This window comes from Homo sapiens, chromosome 18, assembly GCF_000001405.40.
Source record: "Homo sapiens chromosome 18, GRCh38.p14 Primary Assembly".
In the NCBI taxonomy this organism is placed as follows: Eukaryota; Metazoa; Chordata; class Mammalia; order Primates; family Hominidae; genus Homo; species Homo sapiens.
This window is the reverse complement of record NC_000018.10, coordinates 37,416,509-37,443,851: the sequence shown is the minus strand read 5'-3', so window position 1 is coordinate 37,443,851 and position 27,343 is coordinate 37,416,509. Positions and strand designations below refer to the sequence as shown.

Below are 27,343 nucleotides of genomic sequence, written 5' to 3'. Positions count from 1 at the left end.
GCAGAGTGAGCAGTAAATATCTGGCGAATGGAGGGCGGATGAATTATGCGCAAAAGGGATTGAGCTTGTGAACACAGAAGGAGGCTCAGGATTCCATGTCAGTGACCACCCCCAGCCCCGACACAGAGAGGGAGAGGGAGAGGGAGCCGAGGAATCAGGGTCTGCTCCCCACCCTTTCATACCAATGAAGATGTGGGCAGGGAAGCCTGGACCCTCTTCCTGAGGCCTTCCAGGGGAGCCTTGGAGCCACTCTCCAGCCATTCAGGGATGAAAGCCTCCACCCACACTGATGATGTCATTGTCCTGCTTTGAGAAACGCTGGCTGAAGCCCCTCTGCCAAAACACTTCGGCACATGCACACACTTCGGTGGTGGGGAGCTCTCTCAAACCTTGCAGCAGGCCATGGGCCTCCTCTCCTGCCAGCCCAGGGCCTTTATGCAGAGGGAGTGTGCTAGAATCAGTATGGGGTAGCACAGGGCAGATGGTGCAGTTGGGAGACCCTCCCCCCACTCCCCTGTTTATCTAACCCAGAGCCTGCCTCTTGTGTTTATTTTTAACAAGCAGAATGATGGTCCAGGTCTTTTCTACTTTTCCACTTTTATAAGCAAAGGAAGGAGAAGAAATAAGTCTCAGGAGGCGGAGGGACAGAGACAGGCTAGGGCGTTGCCCCCTGTGAGGCTCTAGGGTTTAGCTCTAATCCACAGAAGACACGTCCCCTTCCCAATCCCATCCCCACTCCCGTCAGGTTCTCACCCTCCAGGAGCTCCCATTTGGGAAGACAAAAGCTACGCACTGGAAACAAGTTGCCCCTTGTTTGGCCACACGTGCAGAAGTCAGGGGAGGCTTAGGGATGGGTAGAATTTTGAAAGCAAAAGGTAGTGGGAAGTAAGGGTGCAGACAAGACTAGGAAGATAGGTGCAAACTAACCCAGAAGGCAGTGTGGTTGGTAGCAGGTACTGTGTAAGAAAAGGAAGGAGAGCTTAACAGGACGGAGAGGGGGAGATTATGGAGCCCTGCCCAGATGTTCCTTAGAGAATTCTACAATTGCAAGGCGCCTCCGTAAGACGTCTTGTTCATTCCCATACAGGTGGCTCAGGGTTCCACAGCCCTTCTTGCAGACTGTGCTACCAGCGGCCGAGCCTCTTCTTAGCAACTGTCCAGAGACGAGGCACAGCACAATCTGTTTCCTTGTATTGGAAATGTGCCCGGTGGACTGAAAGCAACCTTCCCGGGAGTCGCCATGTGGACTTCCCATGGGCTCGCTGTGCTGTTTGGGCCAAGCCCCCTTCAGCAGTAGCATGCACTGTGATGACCCTCACCCCAGCCACCTTCCCTTCCTCAGCTATTGACAGCCATCCCTTCTCCCTTTCTAGAGGGTATCTTGGCCCACCCAGCCATTAATTTGCAAATGGGCCATTTCTGCTTCAAAGGGAAAAAAATTTTTTTTCTGAGATCTAGTTTTTAAGTATTCTCAAATGACTAGTGAGAATCAATCTGAGATCTAAGAGTTTGGTGCGTATTGAGTGTGGATTCTCAACTTCCATCTTTATTTCTTTATGTCACGACTTGGCAAGCAGGTGGATGAATGTGGGCCTGGAGGCATGGGTCCCTACAGAAGCCATGTTCGTCATTTTTTTAATTTGTTCCTTCCATTGAGCTGCTGCTGCTGATTTTTATCCCTTTCTTCTCCTCCTCCATTCACCCTCCCAAAGCCCCTGGGTAATTCATCCTTTGTCCACAAGTCTGGCCAGGCCCAGCTTTGTGCCAGCAGGAGCCAGTGGGGCACCCAATAAAGGAAATGCCCCAGGTAAAGGGTGACACACCGTGTCATCTAGGGTCTTTGCGGTTTGGGTGACGCACTGTGTCATCTAGGTTCTTTGCGGTTTGGGTGACGCACGGTGTCATCTAGGGTCTTTGCGGTTTCGGTGACGCACCGTGTCATCTAGGGTCTTTGCAGTTCAGGTGTGGAGATTCAGGGGAGTTCTGAGGAGGGGGAATGGGTGTGAGTTGCAGTCGTCAGGAGGACTTCCTGAGGGAGGAGGACTGCACTGGGCCTTCAAGAATAGAATGCTCCCCAGGCCACAAGCCTAGTGGTGAGTGGGGAGGCAAGCTGGCTGCCACTCCTGAAACCCTGGGTGGATAGGTGTCCCCTTCTGTTTAATATGCACCTTCCCCAAAAGAGGGTGATCTTGCAAGATAGAGGGTGACCACAAAGCAGATGGTCTGACTCAAGATAATAGTCCCTGGCTGCCACCTCGTCCCCATGGGGGCTGGACTAGGCTGCCGCAGCCAAACCACCCTGACTCTTTCTACCCCTCCTACCTAATTGCCCCATTACTGTAAATAATATCTTCCCATCCGAACAATTAGCCTCCTCATTTTGAAACTCCTGGTTTGTTTTTTCTGGTTCTGAGGCCTTAACATTGGAAAATACAAACATATCCGGCATCTGTCTGCCGTCTCCCAGCAACCATCCCAGCCACTAATGCACTTACAGCCCCCACAGGCCTGCTCCCCAGTTCCCATCTCCCCCGTGTGTGTACACACACACACACACACACACACACACACACACACAGCATTGTTGAGTTCTGGGAGGTAGGGAGGAGCCAGCTCCCTGGCATCTGGAAAGCAGACAGGGAGCTGGCTGGCTGGAGCTTCCTTCAGGATCTGCCCCACCCTCCGTGGCTGGGAGATCTTTAAAAACAAATCCCAAGCCTTCCTTCAGTGGATGTCCAGAGTCACTGGTCCAGCGGGGAGAGACAGTCTGAAAATGATCTCAAGGCAAGAACGGTCTAGGTATCAGCAGCGGCAGATACGGTTGTGGTGGTAGTAACGTTGACAACAAAAATAATGCATCCACTATCTAATATTCACATTCCTTGCACCACTTTACGGATCATCTTTAAGTCCATCCAATCCTTTAAACAAGCTCAGGAGATCAGGGGAGAATTGTTATCTCCATTTGCAACAGGGAAACCAAGGCCCAGAGGGTCTGTAGTTTGTCCAAGGTCCTTGGAGGATAAGCAGGGGAATGGCTAGTTAGACAGATGGGTAGTTAGGTAGGTAGATAGGTGGATGAGTAGGTGATTGCAAGGGGTAAATAGGTTGACAGAAAGACTAGATGACTGCAGCCAATATCCTCGCTCTCCCCTCCAGGCCACTCATTGCAATAATCACCTGCCCCACAGGATACAGTTAGTTGTATTTTAAATTGAACCGGTGCCATTTATTAATTATTCCCTGTGGGCCCCACCTCCTCCAAGGAAGGAGACACCACTTCTCCTCTGTGCCTCCCTTCCCTCCTGTGGCTGTATTTTTGGAGCTGAAGCTGAGGACATCTGGTCTGACATGGAGGAAATGCTCCTCAGATGGTAGAAGAAGTGAAATCAGGGCTGCCCTGGGACAGCGGGCTGAGCCTGGATGCTTCACACTGGGCCTGAGACAAACTGGGCACCCAGCCATGGCCAGCAAGGCCTGGTGGGGCTGAATGGGAGCAAGGACGTGCCTGCCCTTCCTCCTCAGTTCTCTAGGATGTCCTCGGAGCTCCAGGAGGAGAGCGCAGCCCAGCCTCCCCTCCTCCCCACCTGGTTGTTAGTTCCAGCACGTTCCCCCTCACCGAGGCCCCCCAGCCAAGGCTGCCTGAAAAACTCCACCGGGAGCGTGTACAGGACACCTTGGGTCTAATGTAACATTTAATGGCCAAATCTCCCCAGGTCCCTGCATTAATACAAAACTGCTTTACTCATTCTAACCAGACAGAGTCACATGGCTAATGGCTCCAAGGCTGAGCCTGGGCAAGAGGGAGGTGATGAAGGAAGCAGGAGCCATCAGCACCTTGCTGTGGCCTTGAGTGGCAGAGGTGGGCCATCCCCAGGACCAGAAGTCATTGTGTGACCTCTGAGGACAGGACCCTGTAGTGTTCATGTCTACCTCCTAGGAGCCTAAGGCAGGGCTGTACTACACATCAGTCATCATTTAATACACATATAAATGTCTTGGGGACAAATGTTTCCCCAAAGAAATGCAAGACAGGCATACACTAGCCCCTGCCCACCCTAAGCCAGAGATGATATGATGCTGTCCAGCCACACAAACTGAGCCCTGCCTCCCACACCGGCCTGAGGGGACTCAATTGGTTCCTACCTGGGAGCTCCAGGGATATGGGGGGACAGGAGAGCTGGTGGGGGAGAGCTTCCCAGAGAAGAGTGACTAGGCCAAGTTGTGGAGGTCCCCAAGGGCTCCAACATGGTCCTAGCCCCCAAGGTCCTTGGAGTGGTCAGGAAGACAAGACTTCTTAGGAGAAGAAGGCACACAGTGTCAGAGGAAATAAGGTCATTTGGACACTGATAGCAGGGCTGTGGATGTCCAGGGGTGTGGCACAACCCTCATGAGCTCCTCAGTATTTCAGACGCACACATGCACACACACACATGCATGCATGCATACATGCACACACATGATCAGAAAAAAGCCCTCCAGAAATTGACCTAATTTGGTTGTACTTTCAATTTATGTAAACCCCACTTTCATGGACACTGAGGGACAAGAGAAACTGTCCCATGGCCATCCAAGTACTTCCAGATTGTATCCATGCCTCCCAAACCCACCGCCTGCCCCTCTCAGGGTAAAGCAGAGCTACCCTCACTCCAGTACTAACTGCAGCCAGGCCTGCCTCTGGCCAGCTGCAAAACCTAGTGAGAGTCCCTTTGCTTCTCTGGGCCTCAGTTTTCTCATCTGTAAAATGAAGGGGCGGGCCTGGAGAGTCCCTGGGGCCCTCTGCAGTTCCAGCATCAGGACTGAGGAGGCTGCTGGGCTCTCAGGTGGAGGCAATTTCCCAGATCACTGAGCCCCACCTGGCCACCATTGTGTGAGGCCTCCCCTGGGCATTAGCCATCTGGAAATATTGCCATCCATCTTTCTGAATATCTGGTTAAAACACTTACCTAATCCTAACCTAATCCTTTCAATTTGGGGAGAGAATTGAAGAAAAAAAAATGCAAGCAGCCTGAAGCCTGAATGCTAACAGATGGGTAAAAAGTATGTATAAATTACACCCGCGGCTGTCAATTCAAGCTCTCTAGATAAAGTGATATGAAAGGTGTTTCATTTATAGGGGAAATTAATTGCCAGCTGTATGACTGGATGGTGTGAAGAAACCACAGCCACACGATGTGTCCCGTATATTTTTTCTGGCTGGATTCAGTACCTTCTGTGCCAACGGCTCCTGCACCACTCCAGACCTGGAAGGCACCAGGGTAAACATGACCCTGAACCACTATTCCAAAGTTAGGATGCAGCCAGGGAAGCTTCAAACATGGTAGGGTGCACGACATTGAGAGGTAGGGTGCCAGCCCCTCCTGCTACCAACCCTGGGTCTCAGTGTCCTCATCTGTCAGGACAGCTGCTTAAACTGTATCTACTCTATCTACTCTGTCAGCATCCTGGGCACAGGATCACATCCCAGTCTTCTACATACCTTCATCCTGCCTTGCCAAGCCCCTTGCCCCACCATGGATACTCGGTCCATTTCAAGGGGTAACACTGACATCTGGAACACCAGTCACATCATTTAGTCTGGAACCAACCCACTCTTCACTGACAGTCAATCACTTGACCTTTCAGGCTTCAGTCTCCACATCAGCATAGTGAGGTTGTCTTAGGCAACTTGGGCTGCCATACCAAAAACCACAGACTGAGGGGCATACAAACAAGACAATTATTTCTCACAGTTCTGGGGGCTGGGAAGTCCAAAATCAAGGTGCTAGCAGATTCAGTGTCTGGTGAGGGCTCTTTTCTGGGCTTGCAGACAGCCGCCTTCTTGCTATGTCCTTTCATGTTGGAGGGAGACTGAGCTCTGGTCTCTTTCTATTCTGTTAAGGACACTAACTAATCTCATCATGAGGGCCTCACCTTCCTGACCTCATCTACACCTAATTAATCTCCCAAAGGCCCCACCTCCCAATACAGGTTTCAACATAAGAATTTGGGTGGCAGGGGGACACAAACGTCAAGTCCTTAACAGAGGCACTTAGCTGGAAGGTCCACAGCTCCCAGTGCTGATGTGTATTCTGACTGTTAAAGTTCTCATTATCTCTGTCTCTGGCTGTGGAGATCAGGAGGCTGAGAAGACAACTCTACTGGGAAATAGAGGCAGCCAGGACAACTCCTCTGCCCACCTGCCTGGATGTGTCCTCGCCAGAGATCCTTTATGGGGAAGAAGTGTGCATCACAGGAAGAGACGGCAGCCACTCTAATGCCTTACCTTGGTCCTCCAGGACACAAGATGGGTGGGAGTGGGGAAGCAGAGTGCTGGCCAAGCCAAGACCATTTATGCCCCCATTCCCCCAGTTTCCATAGTATCTCCCCCACAACCAACCCCACCAAAAGTGCTCTCTGGATCGTTTGGTGAAGATATCTATATCCCCAGAACCATTTCTGAGAAGGGAAGACTGCAATGCTGAAAGGCTTCCCGGCTCTCAGAGTGCAGGGCCCCTGACACTAGGACCTTGGCACCAGTGTGCTTGCCCATCCTCACCCAGTCCCCATCAACCAGGAGGAGGGGTCTCCCAGCAGCCTCCAGCTTGGGAAATTGCTTCTGGTTCCTGCTTCTCCTGCCTTCTCATTCTTCTTTCTTTCTTGGGCATGGGGTGGGGCAGGCAGAGCTCAAGGTGGGGCCTGCATTGAGAGTCAATTTGGAGGTACACACTTGTAGCCACCTGCCACCCACTGGGGAGCCTGGCCCCCAGCTATGCTGCATGCAGCCACTCTGCCAGCTGCCTGACAAGCCCCTGGGGTCTTTCCATTCTGGCTGGGGAGGGGGTGAGTGAGAGGATTTCTATCCTGTGCTCCCCCCATTATCAGAACTATTAAGACAATGAGCTAATATTCTACTCAGATTTAAATAATAAATTAATCTGCATTATATTGAGGAGGCCTGAGAGAGACTTAATTATCTGGTGTACTTTTGGGTGGAAATGAAGGTTGGGAATTGTGCTGGGAATAGACAAGCTCCCTGTGATCACACTGATGTGGGAGTTTAGATTCTGGGGCTCCTGGGCAGAGGTACAGAAGTGCCCCGACTTCCCTCTAGCCCCAGCCATTCCCTCCAACATGGGGAGAAGGCGCCTCTATTTCTGACCATCCCTTCAAAGGGCTGCAGGAACAGTTTCTGAATTGTGTGTTCTCCTGAGCAGGCAGCCTAGGAAGTGAAGAACCAAAGCCTCTGTATAGCCTGAGCTGCTTGCCAGGGAAGTGCTGGGGCCACCTGTCCCCCTAAGCAAACAGGAATAACAGAAACTCCCCCAGAGGGCAGAGGTCAGCCCTGGCTCTTGATCCCCCCTCTGCAGCTTCTTGCTGTGTGACCCTAGGCAGCCTGCTTGATTTACCCCAGCCTCAGTTTCCACATCTGTGTAATGAATATGATACCAGCTCTGTCCAGGGTCTCTAGAGGATAAGACACTGCAAGGCGAGGAGCTTTTAGCACAGCACCCCGGGCAGGAAGCCCTCAGGAAATGGTAACCGGTGTGCCTGCAGATGCTGTCTGAATGAGGGAGCATTTGAGGGCATCTCGAACTGCTCCCGAGTTCGTGGTTACCGTCTTAAACAAACGTATCGGTATACAGTGCTGGAGAGTTGAGCCACGCTCTTCTCTTAAGCGAGCCAGCGCCAGGCCTGTGGTTAATTTTTCTCCCTGGCTGGTTCCTGCCGCTCCCTGGGAACGGAGCTTTTCACACCCTGAGCCAGCCTGCCCGAGAAAGGACTATTTTCAGCCCAGCAGCTACAGCAACAAAAATGTGAAGTCATTCCTGCTGCCTCCAGCTCACCCCTCCCTAGAGAGGTGAGCAGAGAGGTGCGGGCCCTGCAGCGGGGGTCCTGGAGTGCCCACCACCTGCTCCAATCTGTAACCCTAGGGAGACACCACTCTGTCCTGGGTTTATTCCTCATATCCACTAGTTCACCTCTTCTCCTCCCTATAGGCTCTCTCAAGGTCTGGGGTCTTGCCAGGCTCTGCCTGGGGATGTGGCATCCTACAGGGCTCTGACCCTCTCTGGAAGACACGCTAGGGTGGGCTACAGTGCTGAGGACTGGGGTGTCAACTGAGGCTGAACTGACAGGGTGCAGCCTCCCCTGCTGAGAGTCGCCTGGGAGCCAGTGCCTTGTTGGGACGTGATGAGGTGGGGGCAGGAAGAAGGCACCTGAGTGATGAATCATTGCAGAGAATCCAGGGAAGTGGGTGTTGCTGAGATCCTGAGCTGAGAAGAGCTTGATCATTTGTTAAGTTCAAAACCTGGCAGTTGTCTCAGTCTGCTCTGCAAAGAAAACTGGGGATCAGAGACCCTAAGCAAGAGAGAGAAACTCAGTGGTCAAGAGAGCTGAAGCCTGAAGAGAGGTGCTAGGAGCCAAAAGGGGCAGCCCCACCCCAGACCCAGACTAGAACCATTGACAGCAGGGCAGCAACATGTCAGACACACCCAAGACACACGTGCACACACACACATGTGCACATGGACACCAGACAGGCTGGGGAATGGGCTGCAGGCTGGTCACAGGTCAGCCAAACAAGCCCTGGGCCTCCTGCAAGATATGTAATCTTTGTGGCTTCTAGATGCTCACAGAGAAAGTAGAACTGGAAAAATTCCACCTGTCTCAGCTGAGCTAAAAAACGGGGTTTGTTCACAGTCAGGTCAGAGTAGTGAGTCCTAGGAAGTGGGATGTGGCAAGGATCACCTTTCCCTGGGTTCTCTACCCCCAAAGGGGAACCCAGGGAAGCCCAGACAGGGGCTGGAAGAGAACAGTTACTAGAGTGGGCAGGTGACCTCCCTACATCCCCTGGATCCCCCCCTCCTGTGGACTTGCCATTTTTCTCCCCCAAGAGTTTTGGAGGGGGTAGTCAAAAGATCTGAATTTCCCCCTGCAATAGGGAAGACAAGATGCCCATTTTCCCTGCTCAGGGCTTCAACTGGGAAAAGGAGGGGGTGCAGGAGGAAGGTGTTTGAGGGTGTACTTAGGAGCAACATCGCAAATCAAACACTGGGAGGACTTGGGGAGTTGGCGAGGAGACCAGATTCTCCTCCCTACTCCCTACACTGAAAGGGCCGTGGGACAGGCAGGCTGCCCTAGGTATTTACTGATCGCATCTGTGGCCTCCTGACATCAACAGAGTGGCTGCTGTAAGGCCAATCCCCATGCAACCCGAAAGGCCCTGGTTCCTGGTGCAGCTGCTCATTCACCCCACCAGGGAGGGGTGGCACAGCAAACCCCCGGCTCTCTTCCATCTCCTCGCTGCTCTTCGCTGGTGTAATAAGGTGGCTGCACCTCACTCCCAGAGGAGGTTGGGCAGGGGAAATGATGGCACAGCCCCCTGTTTTAGACAGGGGCCACTGAAGCGCTTTTGCCCCATGAAGGTGACTGGTACCAGCCCCTGACCAACAAGCCGCAGAATTAGCTCTGGGCTTCCGGTCCTTGGAAGTCAAATTTCAGTGGTCACAACAGCAGTTAATAGACCAAAAATGCCAGAAACCAGCCTCCGGGGCTTTCCATGAGCCCAGCAGCCTGAGGTGGGTGCTTTCTCCTCAGAGTAACCCAAACCCTCATTGTCTGTACTCCTCATTGGGCAGCTAATCGTGTAGGGCCTTGAAACATTGCTTCTCTTTTTATTCTGAACTATTAGTTAACTCTTGGAGTATTAATTTACTTTTTATGGTTTCTGTTTCAGAGTTTATGTGCAGCTTCCCGTCTCCCCAACAAAGCGATCAGCTCACCAGCGTCAGATACCAAGCCCTGTTAGTCCGGCCCTTGGCACCCAGATGCCTGTAGGGCCTTAGGTGTAGGGAGCACTCAACTAAGATTTCTCTGTTTAAAAACTTCTGCCACACAGGCCTGGGTGTGGGAAGAATAACTAAATAAATAAAAATAAACACTTCCAAACTCTGCCTCTTGTAGGGATTTTGAGGTCTAGGGAGCTAGCCAGTCTCAAAGACTGGTTGCCACAAGGCAAGCCATCTTCCCAGGCTCCAGACACTGCCACCCAGTCTACCTCCCTGCGTCTCCTTTCATTCTCCAAGTGACAGAATCGTGAAGACTTAGAGACCACCTAAGAGGTGGTCCATCCTCAGACTCACTCTCAGAACCTTCTCCCCGTCTGCTTACATACTCCTCCCCACAGGGAGCTCCTCACTTGCCAGGTGACCCCATTCCATGCTTGGCCAGTGACAAGATGCTCCAAGACAAGGACAATCGTGGCCCCGACCTGGCACTTTGAGATAACTCCCAAAAACAAAAGCTCAAACGAAAATGGTTCTCATGTTAATAGCACCATCATTTGCCTACCGTGTGCTCTGTGCTGTGCTGAACACCGTAGGGGCACAGAGAGGCAGAGATAAAATCCTTGTCCTCAAGCAACATTCAGTGTAGTTGGGGGCCAGAAAAATGTACAATAAAAGAATGATGACCCCACAGAGAAGACATCAACTGCTGCATTGTATTGGCAAGAGCAGGGCATGGGACATCAGGCTGCAGTGTCCCCAGGCCACCTTTAACCATGGAGAGGTCTGAAACAGCTCCTTCCCTAGGCAGGCCCATAGTCACTTTATCTGTGCAAAAAAAGGGGTGGGCCCAAATGATCCCATAAGTGCTTTCTGGCTCTCACGTTCCTAGGGACACAGTCACTTCTTGGGGAAGAGGGGGCCATTGTAGGAGGCACTGAACTTAAGAGAGGTGAACGGGGCAGCACCCCACTCATGGGCACATCCTAGCCACACTTTCCCTCACTGCTCACCTCCCACAGGCGTTCAATCCACTCATTGGTTTTGTATCATGTTGGAGATAGGTGTGTGTGGCAATAAGATTCCTGTGTTGCGCATACCGTGGATTGGGACAGGAGACAGGCATTAGAAGCCTGCTGGTACTGCAAGCTCACTTCTGACCAGGAGCAAATCAAAAGAGCATGAAATAGAAAGAGGATGAAGGAGCTGAGAGAGCATAGTAAGAAAGTTATTCAAGGTAGGAGCTCAATCCAAGAAGGCTTCCTGAAAGAGGAGAATGTTGAGGAGGGTAGAAAACAGTAAATGTGAGGCACTGGCCAGGTCTCCAGGGCAGCAGTGCTGGCCTCTCCAGGTCCCTGCCTTGAATAATGCCACTAGCCCTGAAACAGGAAGCAGCTTCTCTGTTCTCAGCTATGAGATGGTCACATGATGAGGTCCTTGCAGACATTTTTGCCAAACCACATGAGTGAGAATATGTTGTATTCTCCTGCGCATCTTTCATTTCAAACATCTTTGCTTGGCATCTTACAGCTCTCCCCAATCTCTCTGCCCCCAGGATTTGCTTTGCTTGGTCCGGGTGCAGCGTTCATTGTCTTTGTTGTTTATAAAGTTGAAGGATAGTGTGCCTACCATGATTTCTCCTATCTGTTGTTCTCTTATTTCTCTAATTTGGTCTTTTCAAATAAATCAGTAGAACAAATGTCCTCTTTCCCATCCCACCTCCAAGCTCCCCCTCTGGGCCCAGGTGGGATGTGCTGGGAGTTGGGGGCCTCCTCAGATGGAAACCAGTCTCCGGGCCTCTGGAGCCTGTGCCCCCACATTGGCGGGTGGCCCTCACAACAGCACCCCTTCTGCTGCACAGAAGAGAAGGTGGGATCCACCTGAGGGGCAGAGGCCATCAGTGCTGGCTGCTTCTCAGCCAGTGTGTTTGATCTGGAGGCTAAGGACCCAGCAGGAGTGAATCCAAAGAGAGGACCAGGTGGGACCCAAAGCTAGGCTGCCAGGGCTCCCAGCCTCACAGCCTCCCAGCTCAGGCCCAGAGACAGCAATAGACAGGCATCTTTCATGCCTCACACTCCTTGCAATCAGTGGAAAATTAAGTGTTCAAGGTGGGGGGACCTATTTCACGCTTTTACAGCTTTTCCACAGAACGAAAGCCAAGGACTCAGGGGCTTAATTATGTGGGCATAGACAAGCTGCCTCCTGGGACCTCAGTTTCCTTATCTGTAGATTGGGCATGCTGGTACCTGCCCAGACGGCCTTGCAGATGCATTTGGAGGATGAGATGAGAGTTAATACAGTGACATTTTGAAAAACCTAAAGTCCTGTGCTCAACTGCCAGGGAAGTTTAACAATTTAATTTTAATATGGTGACTGTGGCTTATTGAGTTTTCACATAACTTAGAAGGAGAGAAAGGGCCAGGTGCAGTGGCTCACGCCTGTAATCCCAGCACTTTGGGAGGCCGAGGCGGGCAGATCACGAGGTCAGGAGATCAAGACCATCCCGGCTAACATGGTGAAACCCCGTCTCTACTAAAAATATAAAAATAATTAGCTGGGCGTGGTGGCGGGCGCCTGTAGTCCCAGCTACTCAGGAGGCTGAGGCAGGAGAATGGCATGAACCTGGGAGGCGGAGCTTGCAGTGAGCTGAGATTGCACCACTGCGCTCCAGCCTGGGCGACAGAACAAGACTCCATCTCAAAAAAAAAAAAAAAAAAAAAAAGGAAAGAAAGGAGAAAGTGGCTGTGTAATAGCAAAAGAACACAAAAATGAGGAGATGATAAGCCCACCAGGAAAAGAAGATGAGATGATAAGACCTCCAGGAAAAGAAGCAATTGTTTTCGGCATAATGACTTTTTAATCAGTCAGTTGGTCAGTTTTAATTAGGCACCTACTGTACGCCAGGGAGTGAACTAGATGGCACAGTCAAGCAACAGAGCTGTCCCCAGACAGAGGAGAGCAAGGAGGGCTCAGCGGCCCATCCTCACCTCTGGCTCACCCACAACACCCAACCACAGCAGCACCTAGAGTCCTTTCCTCCCTATACTTGCCCCAGGACCCAAGCCTAACCCAGCAGCCAGGCCTAAGGCCAAGTTCCCCAGACCAGGGTTGTGGGAGGGAAGAAGCAGGCAATGGATGGGAGTGTGGGGGAGGCGGCCTTACCCAGAGACACCTACAGCTATAAAAAGCACCAGCGCCACCTCCAGACCAAGTGAGACCTGCTAATGTGCCAGATCCCCATGGGGTAAGGAGAAGGAGCAAGCACTTCCCCTGGGGTGGGAGTGCACTTTGCTCAGCCCTGGGAGACACAACTAGAGGGGGCCTGACAGGCCACTTCCTTAGCTACCAGGGGGCCCGAGCCAGGAGGAGGCATCTGACAGCAACTTAGGGGTGCCCTGCTCAGTGCTCCCCCCATTCTGCTCAGAGGAAGCTAGATGCACACACTGCTTCTGCAGCCTGTCATTTGCAAAAACCAGGCCCTAAACCTCAGTTATCTGGTCGTTTCTGTGCTGGGTTGGGCTTGTGCCTGGCTTTAGGTTTTGTTTAAAGCCCCAGCAGGCTCTAGCCTGTTACTGCGCTACACACCATCCTTGCTGGCTTCACCCTCCCTGCCCCGAGGTTTGTGTGGAGTGGGGGTGGAGGGCCCACTGCAATGCTATTACAGTATTTGCATTTATATGAGGCACAGACCCCAAGTCTCCAGTCTCTGGGTGCTTTTACAACTCTGTGTATACATAATTTATTTTTGTTGCTATTTAATCAGTCTTCGTGTTGAGATGAAAAGTTTCCAAGGGGCCCCAGGTTATTATGCAACTTGCAATTCCACCAGCATTGACTGAGTGGATGGGGTCCCCAGTCCGTGCTCAGCTGCAAAGGTGGGAGGCATGGGACTGGGCAGGAGGCTGTGTGGTTCCTGCCCACAAAGTCAGCTCAGGCTGAGGTGGGGTGGCGGATGGCAGGGTACAGAGCCAAGGTCTACCTCCCCCAAGAGGGGTGGCCAAGAGAGAAGTGGGCAGTGAGAGCCGCACTGTTCCTAGGGAAAGATGCTGAAGGAGGAGGTGCCTGAGACAAAGGGCGTGGCCAGTAGGAGGAACTAGCTGGCCTGGACTTCCTGCTTCAGAGTCAGGAGACAGATTGGAGCTGAGCAGGGATTGGAGCAGCTAAGTGGGAGGCAGGAAGTGCAGGTGTGTGCCTGACACAGGAGTCAGGCAGGGCAGGATGAGGCCCAAGTGTGGGGTCTTCCGTAGGGATCAGTCCTAAGAAGAGATGATGAGGTTGTTCTATTTTCCTCAATAGGCTGTAGAGGAGAGCCCCTGCGCAAGGCCAAACGGAAGCCCTAGCCTCATCAAGATCTCCACTCAATTCATTTTTTAAATGGAGTGGGTTATAAATAAATAACCAAACAAAGAGGCAGTGGTGTGTGCTGAAGTTCTTGCCTGTGTCTGCTAGAGCTGAGGCCCAGGGAAGAAGCAGTCCCTGCATGAGGTAGCACTACCCACTTGGAAACTCCAAGACCTCTGACATAGACATGCAGCAGATGCTGCATGAAACAGACACACCCAAACATACACAGAATGTATGCAAACACACAGGTATTCAAAGACGCTGGCACACATAGGCACACATACACACTCACAGACATGCACACACAATGAGACTATAGACACACACAGACACAGACACACCAGCAAACACAAAGAGGCAGATAAAATGCACACAGACATACAGAGCACACACAGAGGCACATACACATGCTCCCCAACACACACACACACAGACTTACACATGCACCTTCCCAGCTTTCAGGCTCTTCTCTCCTGGCCACACCCATAGAGGGTCCTTGTAACCAGAGAAGGTAGGTTGTCAGGAGTCAAGGTAGAGAACTACATTTCAGAACAAGTACTCAGAGGAACACCTCCCACGTAGCCAGCGATGGCCCCAGCCCCTGTTATAAAGTAAGCAAGCACCCAGTGTTCCGATATTCCTTACCATGGCAGGAAGCACGACTCCCTCACCAAGATACGGCAGCAGAGACAAGGGGCATCCATGCCTCCTCTACGATGCAATTGCTCAGGCCCCTGCAAACATTATTGGGAACCACCACTCTAGATCCTGGGTGCCCAGGTGAATAAGACACAGTCCATGCCCTCGAAGGGTCACTGGGTTCAGCAAGCACTTGCTGTGTGCCCTCTGGATGTCAAAATGATGTTTGTGGAAGAGATACAGAAATAAAGAAGGCCTGTTCTCAGCCACTAGGGAGTGCGGGGTGTGGGCTGGAGGGATCAGGCACACTTCCTCCTGCAGGGCGGCTGCTGCTCAGAACACATGGGGGCCCTACTTCAGTAGTCTCCTTCAGGTCTTCCTGCCTCATACAACCCTACTGACAGTAAATCTTCCTCTGAGTGCTGATTTAAAGTTGGTACATAACTGAGATTCCCTAAAAGGGAATTCGATGATCCTGTTTGGGAAAACTGAAATCATAAGTCCTGTCAAAGGCTTTTGTGTCCCATTAGCTGTACTGGAGTAGGTGCAGCCCCTTTGGATGTGTGAGTTCTGATGCAGCTACTGTGGAGTGACTCCTTGTAGACGCCCTTGGAAACACAGCCACACCCCAAAAGATGCACTCCCATAGAAAAACCTCTCTGCTTAGCACCTCCTTCCTTACAGAGACCCAGAGCAGGAATGTGACTTCACCTTCCTCCCTCATCCCCTGCCTGCCCTGGATCATGACCCAAATGTCAGCCGGTCAGGTTCAAGCTCCAGTTCCACACCGCCCCCTCCTTCACCTCTCCATGCATTCCTGAGGACTCAGCCACTGGCCAAATCTTTTACTTTCCTCTCATCACCCTGATTATTCCCTGTTTAATTAAAATTTGCTTCAGCTAATAGGCCTTAAATTAGTATTTTCAAATATTGACATCTACAGGACCCTTATTCATTATTTTTGAAAGCTCTAGGGCTAATTGCTTTACCACCCACCAATTAATTACTCATTCAGTGGACAGGTAGCTGCTGCTCCCAGAACATGGACAGACATACTTGCAGGTAGGTGAAACTACACATAGAACAGGTGCACACAAGCATGTATGCCGGGGTGTGCACATGCACGCACACATACACACACCGTAGACACTTTCTCCAGTAGAAGTCTGGCCTAGTAAAATCCAGTTGTGCATATATTTGGGGACCAGGAGGACAGCAAAACATTGTATGGGAGACCCAGGTCTTCAGTGCCAGGCCATCCCCTGTCTATCTATCAACCATGTGGAGAACTCTGCAGGACTGGAGGCCTCTTTGTTCTTCCTTCAGTGCAGAGAACAGCAGCACTGAGAGGAGGTGATCAAGGCCGAGGAAGGTCCCAAAGATGGCAGCTGGAGCTAGTAACCCAGGGCCTTGAGCAGGAAGGGAAGCCCTTGAAAGCCAAACAAAGAGAGTGATGTCTCCACATGTAGCTGGGGAACCTGCAGGGAACCATGCAAGAGGAGATGAGGTCAGGTTGGGGGTCAGGGCTGGGGAGCCTGCAGAGAGGGACAGGCCAGGGCTGTAAGGGTCCCCAGAGGCCACGGAAAGGACACTCGAGTCAGGCCCAAGTTGGCTTCCCCCACAGTTCCCCGAAAGGACCCAACTGTGGACATCAACAGATCCAGAAAAGGTCTAGAACAGTCCACAGAGCAAATCCCCCATGCAGCCCTGGGGAGAGCTGGGTTTGGCGAGTTGGGTGTTTTTGCCTATGGGAGTCCATTGGGAGGGGGCCCCTGTTGTTCACCACCATAGCCACCTGTGCTATTTCCTGCCTGGGCTATTGAAAACTTTACAGAAGAACAAGAATGTGTTCAGGAGGCCACCCCAGAACCCCTCCACCTCCTACCCCAGGCCAGCAATCCTGCACATCTGCTTTGGGTTGGAGGAGGCAAGCCCCACGTCCAGCTGATGAGAGGAGAAGCCTTCATTTGAACAAGGGCCTTCTTCCTCAGGCTCCCGCCAGACTGCGCTCTATGCTGCTGCCATGGTGGGCTTCACCCAGGGTGCCCAGCTTCCCCCCCCCCCGTGTCCCTGCTGCTGCCAGCACCCGCCAAGTCTGAGCCTCAGCCCCCTTGACCATCTTTTTTTTTTTTTTTTTTACTCCTTGTAAACAGTCTGGAGTGATTGGGATTAAAGTCTCTGCAAGTCATTGGTATCGCTTTTCGGGAGAGCCAAGTAATCCATGGGGATTAAAGAAGCAGCCGTGCTCATCTCTCACAAATGCATATCTGTCAGAGGCATTGACCTGTTAAAATAATGAATTTAATGTGCAGCAAACCGCACATGGCAGCGGCGACGCAACATGGCCTGGCAAATTGTTTTCCACGTGTTCTAATGAGACTTTTAAGGGAACAGGGCCGCCTGGGCAGGCTGCCCCGCCCCCAGCCCTCCCGCACCGCACCCTCTGCAGTCCCACTCCTGGAAGGAAGAAGGAGGCTGGTGCAGAAGCGATCAGCCCCGCCTGCGCCCACCCCACTTAGGAAATGCAATCATTCCACTCAATTTCTGCAGGTTTATTATTGGCTTTGTGGGCCATTTGTGGCTTCCTCCAGTGGCTCTCCCACAGCTCAGCCCCTGGGTGGTCATTGACAAGGTCCTGTGTGACCCTGGGCCTCTCTGTAAGGCTCTGTCACAGGACAGTCTGTGTCCCCTCCCCAGCCACTGGAAGAGTGGCCTAGCCACCAACTCCTAGGACCAAAGCTGGGGTCTGGCAAGGCAGGCACCCAGGTCAATGCTCTCTTTTTACATAAGGGGAAACTGAGGCTGATAGAGGAGACATGACTTACCCTCAGTCACCTAGAGTGTCCGTGGCAGACAGAAGACCAGTGTCCCGATATTCTTCCCCCTGCCCAGTTCTTTGTCCACTTTACCCTTCCCCCGTATCATCCTCCCCATGGCCAGGACCTGTGCTTGGGGGCAGGTCCAGCTGGAACCTGTGGAACCTGTCCAGTGCTACTGGGGGGAAAGGCCCATAGCCAGAGTTGGGACTACATTGATTCCAGGGCAAGGGCTGGGGCTGGGGCTATATCCTGGTCTGATCCCAGTGGCCACTGTCCCTCACCACCAATGAGCCTGTTTCCCCTCCAGGCACTGTCCCTGGCAGACTTGGCAGAGAAGCCTCTCCCTCCCTGGCTGATGTCCTCTCTGGGGAATGGAGGTGCTACCCCCAGCACCTAACAGAGAACCAACTCTCTTGGGGACCAAAGGTCCCCTAATCAGGCAGGCCTTGATGGTAACATGTCCATCTTCCAAGGTGTCTTCAGATGGCAAGGACCATGGCCCAAGGGCTTTCGCCAAGCAGCTGTAGTTTCTGCAGATGTCAAAGGTCAAGTCTGTGCCAGGGGAGCTGGCTCCTGGCCCTAGAAGTCTCCAAAGGAACCTGCTTTTTTCTTTCTTGAATCTCTATGAGCTTTCTCCCTGGTGGACGAGTGCACAGTGTCTGCTCTAATGAGGTAATTACGAATGACTTAATAGAAAGGCAGTGCACTCTCCTTTTCCTTCGTTCTTTTATGTTTTTTAAAGAAATCATTTGATTATGAATTCTTTGGGTCTCAGGTATTCTGGCATGCATTAATAAACCCACAGTTAGGAGGCAATCTGGGAGCCAGGAGGGCTTCCTGCAGCAGCTGCCTCTCAGAGACCCCTCAGGCACCCTCCCTGCAGCTGGCTTCCTGTCTGTGGTTGACTCAACAGGGAAGGGTTAGAGCCCCGGAGGGGCCTTGTCTTCTTTGTTCCAAAGCAGATACATTAATGGACACGTACACAGCATCCCTATTTCAACCTGCAGGACTACAATCCTGTCATCAGCCCACACACGAGGCCGGTAGCATCATGGTCAGATGATCCGTTTGTCCAGTCATGGCCGAGCACCTTCAGGTTGCCCAGTCCTGGGCCTGGCAGAACAGGAAACCCAGAGAGTTGTAATAGATTTTTTCTGTCCTCCAGAATCCCAAAGTCCTGCTAGGAGTCACACATTCACAAATGACAATTGGGTCCCACAGCAATATAGGATGTGACCAAATGCCCAGAGAGGGGCAGAGAGCTAAGAACCTGCCTTGGGGACCACAGTGGCCAGAGAGCACTGTGCGGGTGGGGCGAGAGTGGAACAGGTGCAGGTTGAGGGTCAGATTCAGGAGAGAGGATGTGCTTAGGACTAAAAGAGCACAGGAAGGAATAGCAGGCAGGTAGCAAGAGTGTGGCAGGGTCAGGAGTGTGTGGAGCCCAATCCCCTGGACTTCGGAGCTTAGATGGGGAGGTTGGACTACTCATCTAGCCACAACACAGGATGAGTGAGAAGGGTAGGGGGAGGAGGCAGCCAAAGCTGGGCTGAGCTTAACACTGGTAACCACGTAGCTGGGGAACCTGCAGGGAAGGGCAGTGGTGCTCCCTCGGCCTCTGATCCTGTGTGACCACAGGCATTGCTGCTAGCAACTGGGAAGTCTTACCCCAGGCCACAGCATAACTGCACAAACCCAGTTACCAGCATGCAAAATATTGCTTGTAAATGCTATCGGGTGCTCAGAGTGCCTGAGGGAAGAGGTGCTTGGTCCTGGAGCTAGGCCACGACCCTCCAAGGCAGGCTGTAAGGCCACACGGGGTGGAAGGCCAGAGCTCCTTCTCCTCCTTCTGCTCTCTGGGTATTGCCACCAAGCCCTGTACCTGTTCTGAATCCCTTAGCACCCCTTTCTCCTTGGCAAACCACTACCATTTCATCCCTTCTAGACTGCCCTCTGCCCCCAGCCTCCCGTGACAGCCCACCTCTCCTTGGCTCCATACGCCTGCATAGAGATCTTGTCATTCAGGGTAAAGTCTACCAGCATGTTAGATAAGCCCTCTTGGGATAAAGTCAAGAGCCTCTCGTTCCTAGGCCAAGGGAGCTAACAGCAAATCAGGCCCTTGCAGGAACCACATATTAGAGAAGGGAGCTATTAGGTTCGTGCAAAAGTAATTGCCATGATTTTCAACGGCAAAAAACACAATTTCTTTTGCACCAACCTGATAGATCATTCCAAGTGCATGGAGCAGGAAGTTGTCTCAAAAGGCCAGACAGCATGAGTCCTAGAAGGCTTCTCGGTGGCGGAGACCTCTCCCCAGGACTTAGAAGGGTGGATAAGGAAGAAACTCAGAGATGAGGAAGAGATGGCATGGTGTACAGCCAGTCTGGCCAAAAATCTGTTCCTTATGGAGCGAGAAGGTGGGAAAAGCATGATGAACCCCCAGTCAAAGATCTGTGAGCCTCTCAGCTATGGTGCATCTCCCTGAAGCCTCCCAAAGCCATTCTCCTGAAGGTTTCAAGTGGAGGCAAGGAGGAGAGGGAGCCTAGGGAGGCTTCCTCCCCTTTCCTAGAGGGCTTAGGGATGAGTGAGGTGATGGCCTCAGGAGACCAAGGCCATGGCTGTCACCAGGATTTTGGTAACTCCACTGTTTTTGCTTCTCACTAGAATAGCTTCGCCCACCTGCCATTGCTGGGTTGCCCTGGGGCCTGGAAGAAGAACACCAGGCCAGGGACCTGGGAGGAGTGAGAGGACAGTCACCCCTGCTCTCCACCAAGAATGACTTCAAGGGTGCCTCACTCAGGCCCCTCCTTTTACCAACAATGTCTCTGAGCTCCTCCTAAGCCCACCTTTGACCCCGCCTCCTCCAGGCAGTCTTCCCATCCCACTCTGGCCCCACAAGGACTCCTTTCCATGTGAAAGCCAGTCCCCCGAGGAGTCAGCACCACATAAGACCTGAGGAGCCTGGTCAAGCTCCCAGTGCTGTTTATTTCATGAGAAAGACCCTGGCAGCCTACCTGGACGTGGATGAGCCAAGGACAGGGCACACCTGCATCTGTGCCCCTTGTCCTCAACCCATCTTCCTGGAACACTCAGCACTGCATTAGGCATTTCATTGACTTGCCTGGAGCTCATGAGCCAGTCTCTCTGTCTCTCTGACTCTCTCTGTCTGTCTGTCTGTCTGTCTCTCTCTCTCTCTCTGTCTCTGTGTGTGTGTGTGTGTGCGCGCGCGCGCATGTGTCTATGTGTAGAACCTGCACAATGTTTAGGCACCGCTAGCTGCTCCCATATCCTACCCAGCCCCATGAAGAAGCAGAGAAAGTGGCTTTGGAAATGAGGTGGAGGGATGGGCACTGTACTGAAGAAAACAGGGAAATTTTGCGTTGTGCTCATGGCAGAAGCGAGAAGCATTCATGGGTCATTTCTGCTGGGGAAATAGGACGAGGGATGACTTCAGAGCCTTTTCATTGAGAAATCAGGAGTGGGGGTAGTCTCTGGCCAGCTTCCCTGGCATAAAATAACAAGGCATGGCTTCCCTATGGCCACGAATGTAACAGGGCAACTGTACAAAGGCAGCATGCCCTAAACCCAGGGCTCTCTCTCACTTTCATGCATGTGCTGGCACATGCATGCATGCACACATGTGCGCACACTCTGGCCTGCTCTTTCTCGGGCACACATTCACTCCCACATGCTTAACACACACATCCATCTCTCAGTTCTTCTTCAGGTACAGCTGCTCCCTCCTCCAGGCTCCCAGGCTCCTCTCCTGGTTCCCCCACTTATTCCTGACACTTGCAGGGCTGACTTTGCTTTTTGAGTGTTGCATTAAGAAGTGCAGGGGCTTGGGGTCAAAGCTACAAGTGTGCTGGGGGAGGGGAGCTGGGAGCCAATCAGCTCCTCCTTCCTCCCTGATAAATGTCTTGTTTGTTTCACTGACCACATGGCCGAAACAGGGAAATGCAGCTGTGTTTCTTATTCAGCCACAAGGGTGGCCCCTGACTGGCCATCATAGTTGGGAGGCAGCTGCCATTCTCCCTGCTCCCATCTCAGTGGGAGGAGAGGAGCCTGCAAGAGCTGCCTGGGGTCTGGAATCTGGTCCTTACACAGGCCCCACTCAGGCCCTGGCCTCTTCTGTGATCTCCTGGGAGAAGTCGCCTCCCCACCACATTCAGTTTCCTCACTTGTCTAGCCAGTGTTATAATTTGTTGCCCCAGCACACAACTGAGCGCCGTGTCTTCCAGCAAGAGGGATTTCAGTTAGACAGGAAGGACCAGCTTTTGAAAATGAGAGTTCTTAAGGGCAAGGCTCCAGGAATATCTTTTCTCCGTGTTTGCTCACATTCTGCTGCTTTCTAAAAAGACACCGCGTGGGTGACCAGAGGGAGGTGTGAGGATTGCCTTCCGAGGAGAGAATCAGGCCATGCTAATCCATGCTGACTGAGGAAGGCTTGAATTCACATCCGGTGTTTTACAGCTCACATTTCACAGGCTGCGCGTGACTGTCCTGGAATTGGCTTGGCCATTCTTTTGCTCCACAAGCCCACTCTCAAAAGAGAGAGCAATGACCGAACTCAGTCACCCTCAAGCCTGAGCCTCCGATCTGTTTATCACTTGGTGGGCTCCCATGAGCCCCCACTGTGTGCTCAGGCCACAGGTACCCCAAAGAAGAGGGGCACGTGCCCATGGCAGCAGGCAGCAGGTCACTGTCTGGCTGGGAGACATGACTCACACGCATGACACAATCAAGGACAGGGGTGGCCGTTAATCAGGGCAGGAGGCTGGGGTTGGACTCCTAGGCTGCCTTCTTCATTGTAGGCAGAGATGCATTCAGCTGGCCTACCACAGCTAAAGAAGAAAGCTGTGCGGAGCCCAGGGTGTTAGTGATAAAACCGCCCTGTGTTTAAGGAGGCTGCACAGCCCCACAGCCCCTGTGGCCAGGCCAGCCAGTGCGCAAGGAGGGAGAGAAGGCAGCTGAGTAGGAAATGCTTTGGCCAGGGAGCTGGGAGCCCTGTGTTCTAATCCCAGCCCTACTCATAACATGCTTCGTGTTCAATCTCTCTGAACCTTAGTTTCCATCTCAACAGACTGAGAGAGTGGGGTTAGCCCTGCCCCATGACCCGGATAGGGAACTGTGAGACACTTGGCAGTATGTGAATGGGCCTATGCCCGGAGAGGGATGTTGGGGAGGGGATGGGGAAGAGGCAGAAAGATCAGGACCAAAGACTCAGCAGCTCCTACACTTGAGTCAAGGAGTTGGAAAGGAAAGAAGAGGAGGAGGGAAGAACCTTGGCTACAGAGACTAGGAATGTCCTAGGTTCAAGCCAAGTTCTTACCTGAATTGGATGGGAACAGGACTACAAAACATGGCATGAGGCTCTTAATGGGAAAAGCAAGGTCATTTGGTCCCTCAAGGCTGCCAGGTAGACCATGAGGCAGGGCTTCCAAGAAGCTGGGAGTCTCTGATCCATGGGAAGGCAGGGCACTGGAGAGATTGGTGGCTTGTGCCTGGCTTGCAGTTTGTGCTCAGAAAGCTCTCTCTGTGGGATGCAGGAAGCCTGTGGCTCCACCTTTGTGGTGAAGCAATGATTCCACTAGCCAGGTTCCAGGCCCCATGCTTGGAGAACGAGTCACCTGTTCTCTAGCAGAGGCTGGGCTATCCTGCAAGCACCTGCACCCTCTCCCTGCCACAGCCTGCCAGGCAGACATCCCCACAGCCAGGAGGTAGACAGAGTGCCCCTCCACCCAGTGCTCCCAGCACGGGTCCCACCCCCACACGTTGGCTCACACAGTTCCATGCATTTCCCTCTCTCGCCACCCAGTTCAAGTCCCACCTCCTACACAAAGCCTTTCCTGAGGATTCCCGTTCACAGCCATTCTCAGCACGCCACACTATTTCATTCACTCCTCATCGGAACTGTGAGCTAAGTGCTGTCATCCTCTTACCAGATAAGGAAACCAAGGTGCTGAGACATTCAGTGGCTGCCCAGTGTTCCATGGCTAGTGAGCGGTAGAGCCAGGTTTTGCAACCCCCAGGTTCTGGCTGCAGGGTCTGCACCCTAACCATGAGGCCACACTGCCTCTCCCAGCTGCTGCCTGCTATCAGACACTGGACCTGAATTAGCCCCTGCAGCTCCTTCTATTTTGAGGGTCAAGGTTCCCCCACCACATAGCAGGCCACTTTTAGGCCAGGGCTTGGATGGCCTCGGTCCACCCTTCCCACCCCCAAGCCTCCCAGCAGGGTGTCAAAAGCATGTGGATCAATGTGTTGCTGGATACCAAGAGCAGATGGCTCACATGATGACTAGATGTAGCTGCCAGAACCCCGGAGTGGCCGTTTTGTGAGTCCTTCACAGAGGACACCCTTCCCGCCGACCTCGGGCCACCACAGGGCTAGATTCTTCCCCAAGATCCTCGCTGTCAGCCAGGCTGGCCTGAAGCTGAGGGTCTCCTGAGGAGCAGATGGGCTGTTAACCCAGACAGGACTGGTTCTCTCTTTGTCCTTAAAAAAATCCTGTAGGGACCCTCCAAGTGTGGAGCAAACCCTCATCATCCCCTGGGTCCTCTACTTTGGGTACCGGAGGGCGTCCCTGAGGGTTTTACAGTCTTGCCTAAGCTCTCTCCACCCTCTCAGGAGAGGAAGGCCAGGCTGACCACCTGACCAGCATAGGAGAACGTGTGTCCACATGGCCGCCTCCCTCCCTTCCCCCTGACCACACCCTGAGGCAGCTCCTCTCCCCATCCATCTTCCAGGAATGCCACCATCCTTCCTGGTCCGATGCCAGTTCCCAGGCCTGACAACATTCCATCTCCCAACATTCCTAAAGCAGGTGCTCAGGGGGTGAGGTTTCCCTGCAGTCGCATACCTCAACTCTGGCCCCATCTCTCCTGCGTCTTTTCCTGACTCACAGAGTGCCAGTGGTTCTCCAAGTAGAACATTCCAGAAGGACTAACCTCCTCCTCAGTGCATCTTTCTTGAGTTGTGACCCTGAAGATACTTCTGGAATTATTTTAAAGAAATGCAGTTTCACCACTTAAAAGTCCAATTCATTTGTAAAATCCATGTAATCAAACAAAAGAGTAAAACCGATATTGAATAACAATCAGTCTGTAACATTGACTTAGCCCCTTCTGGGTGCTTGGCTCTGCACTAGGTGCTGAGGAAATAGAGAGGAACAGAGCAGTGCCCCACTCTTGAGGAAGATGGGATCCTGTATCTATGAGTTCACTGTTGGACACCCCAGCTCCAGCCATACCAGAGGACACCAGCAGGTCTCCCACTCTTCATCCCCAGAAGTACACCTACCATGTGCACCTATGCTAGACTAGACACAGGCACAGCATGAAATGTCAGCTCAGTATTCCAGAAGAAATTATCAAGCACACCTAACCTTTGCTCAGACAGAAAGCCTGGCTCTCAGAGAATGCACACATCCCTGAGAGCAGGCACCCATTCAGTGATTTGAGAAGCTATGAGCCTTTGGCAAGTTCCTGAATCTCTCTGAGCATTAGTTTCTCCTCTTAGAAAACTGATCAATGATCTTCCTCCTGTCTGACATGTGCTTTACAGTATTTTTTGATTAGCCTCAGCAATTCTACGAGACAGGCAGAGTATGTGTTATTATTTTGGAAATGAGGAAAATGTAAGCGAGGCCAAGTGACTTGACCTAGGTCACACTGTGGGAGGAACACAGCCAGAACCCAAACATTCTGGGTCCTTCTTCACTGCTTTTTCCAGGGTTGGGCTAGGTGATTTCCAAAGTGTCATTCACTGTGAAAATGCTATGACATTGAAAGGTTGAGGCAGCAGGGTGTGTATGAAGCCAAGTCTAGGAAGGCCCCAAAACTACAGACAGAGGCTCAGTGGGGGGCAGGTGGTCCTGAGAAGAGAGAGCAGAGCCACTGGGGAGACAAACACCAAGAGTGAGCAATGGGGATATGCTGACTGCTTGTGGTTTACAAGGGTACAGAAATCAGACCTGCCCGTGCTTGACCAAGTTTGAAACCTCCATGCTACAGTCATTAGATATTTTACCAATGTCCCCCACTGCCCACCTCTGGTTTGTGTATTCAAAAGCAATTGCCACCAGCAAAGCTCAGTAGTGGGACTGCTCACCTTCCCCAACCATGTGGATTTCCAACTTGGTGGGGAGAGGACAGAAAGAGAACTGGGGAGGAAAGACAATTGGGGCCTTTCATCAGATCACTTTTGCCTTGAAAGATAGGTGGATTTTCATGATGCCCCTCACTGGTAGTGCTTCCAGGAAAGCAAGCATACCAGGAAAGTAGGCAGGTTCCAGTCTTTAAACTGAGGGTTAAAAGCAAGTGTTCAGGAACTTGAAGCTCAGTTGACCCCAAACATCCTTCAGACCCATAAGCTATCAATCACATGACTCATTATGAGCAGGTGATGTTTCTTACCCCACCCCTTTGTGGGTCTTGGCTCTGAATGGTCTTTGCAGGGAGTCTAGGATATCCAGAGGGTCTAACAGCAGCTACAGGACATCTGGATGGGGTTGACATGGTCAGGATCTGGCCAAGATTAGAATCAGACTGGCCTTCACAGTCCTGGTGAGGATGGCATCTGCAGGATACTGTCCTACTGACCCCGTCTCTCTCCTATTTGACCTGATGGGCCCTGGAGCAGCACTTTTCCTGGGAGAGCTGGTGGTTCCAGCTACTGGCCAGTGCTGCAAGAAGCACCTCACTGGATCACTGCAGGACCTGCCCTACGGGCTTCCAAAGGGAGATAGCACCACTTGGCCAACAGAGGGGCTTCATTGAGTCTGCTGTATTCTGCTGGGCAGAGTCCTGAGAAGATGTGGGGAAGGATCTTGAACATAGGGAAAGGGAGACTTGCCCACAGGTTAAGTCGGAGAAATTGGTAGGCAGGAGAAGTGGAAAGGCAGGGGAAGCCCAGTGCTCTGTCTCTGGGCCATTGGCTGGAAAGGATCTGTGGCTGGAAGAAGGAAGGGGTTAGAGGCAGCTACCTGCTCCCCAGTGACTGCTCATTGCTGAACCATCCCTATGGATGGGCATGTTTACCCCCCAGACCCAGCTCCCAAGCAGCCCTATCTCCTGCACTTGGAGCCCAGTCAGCAAGTTCTCCCTGTCCGTAAACTATACAGAGGTGCAATTGTGCAGGCCTGTCAGGATGCCTGGGCAGTTTCCCATCACAGGAAGACTTCATTCTTTATTTTCTTTTCCCTTTTTTTCTGTTTTCTTTTCTTCCTTCCTCTCTTTAATGATTTCCTTTCATTCCTTCTTCCTTCCTGCTTTCTCCTTTCCTTTCCTCTCTCTTCTATTCTCCCTTTTGCATTTCTTCTTGTCCTCCTTCCTTTCCTCCTCCTTTGTCTACTTCCCTTGCCCTCACTTCCTCTTCCCTTCTCTGTTCCCCAGAGAGATGCTACCACCTCTAGCATTTCCACCTGTCTTGCTTCTGAGCCTACCTGATTGCAGAAGTGCATTCCCGCCTTCTCAACACAGGACAGATGCAACAGGGAGCGTGCAGCCCAAAGAGGGAGAGGAAGACCACAGCCTGTTCACAGGGCCAGGACACACTGGAGTCTCCCATCCCCTAGCTTCCTGAAGACCCAGCCCTGGGCTTGATGCATGAGAAGACAGAGAGGCCCCCCAGGCTGGCTGAGCAGTGTGCCCAAGGATCCCCTGGGTCCTGTTTTTAAAGGCTGATTCCAAGGCCATGGTCCCAGGATACTGATTCCATATGTCTGTGGTGGGGCTCCAGCATCTTCCTTGTTAAAGTGCAGACCAGATGATATGA

The 27,343-nt window shown here is 52.3% G+C and overlaps 1 protein-coding gene across 125 annotated transcripts in view, besides 2 other annotated features; it reads left to right on the top strand.

Annotated features, from left to right (window-relative positions):
• The window catches only part of CELF4 (CUGBP Elav-like family member 4), a 322,955-nt gene that overhangs the window by 121,947 nt on the left and 173,665 nt on the right, over nt 1-27,343 (top strand). The gene's annotated exons all lie outside the window — the stretch shown is intronic.
• Nucleotides 13,351-14,195: an enhancer, noted in NCBI's record as "H3K4me1 hESC enhancer chr18:35009620-35010464 (GRCh37/hg19 assembly coordinates)". NCBI's record gives its function as "activates a minimal SCP1, AML or CMV promoter by ChIP-STARR-seq in primed H9 embryonic stem cells {active_cell/tissue: H9 hESC(primed)}" and the evidence as "EXISTENCE:reporter gene assay evidence [ECO:0000049][PMID:30033119]".
• Nucleotides 21,853-22,456: an enhancer, noted in NCBI's record as "H3K4me1 hESC enhancer chr18:35001359-35001962 (GRCh37/hg19 assembly coordinates)". NCBI's record gives its function as "activates a minimal SCP1, AML or CMV promoter by ChIP-STARR-seq in naive H9 embryonic stem cells {active_cell/tissue: H9 hESC(naive)}" and the evidence as "EXISTENCE:reporter gene assay evidence [ECO:0000049][PMID:30033119]".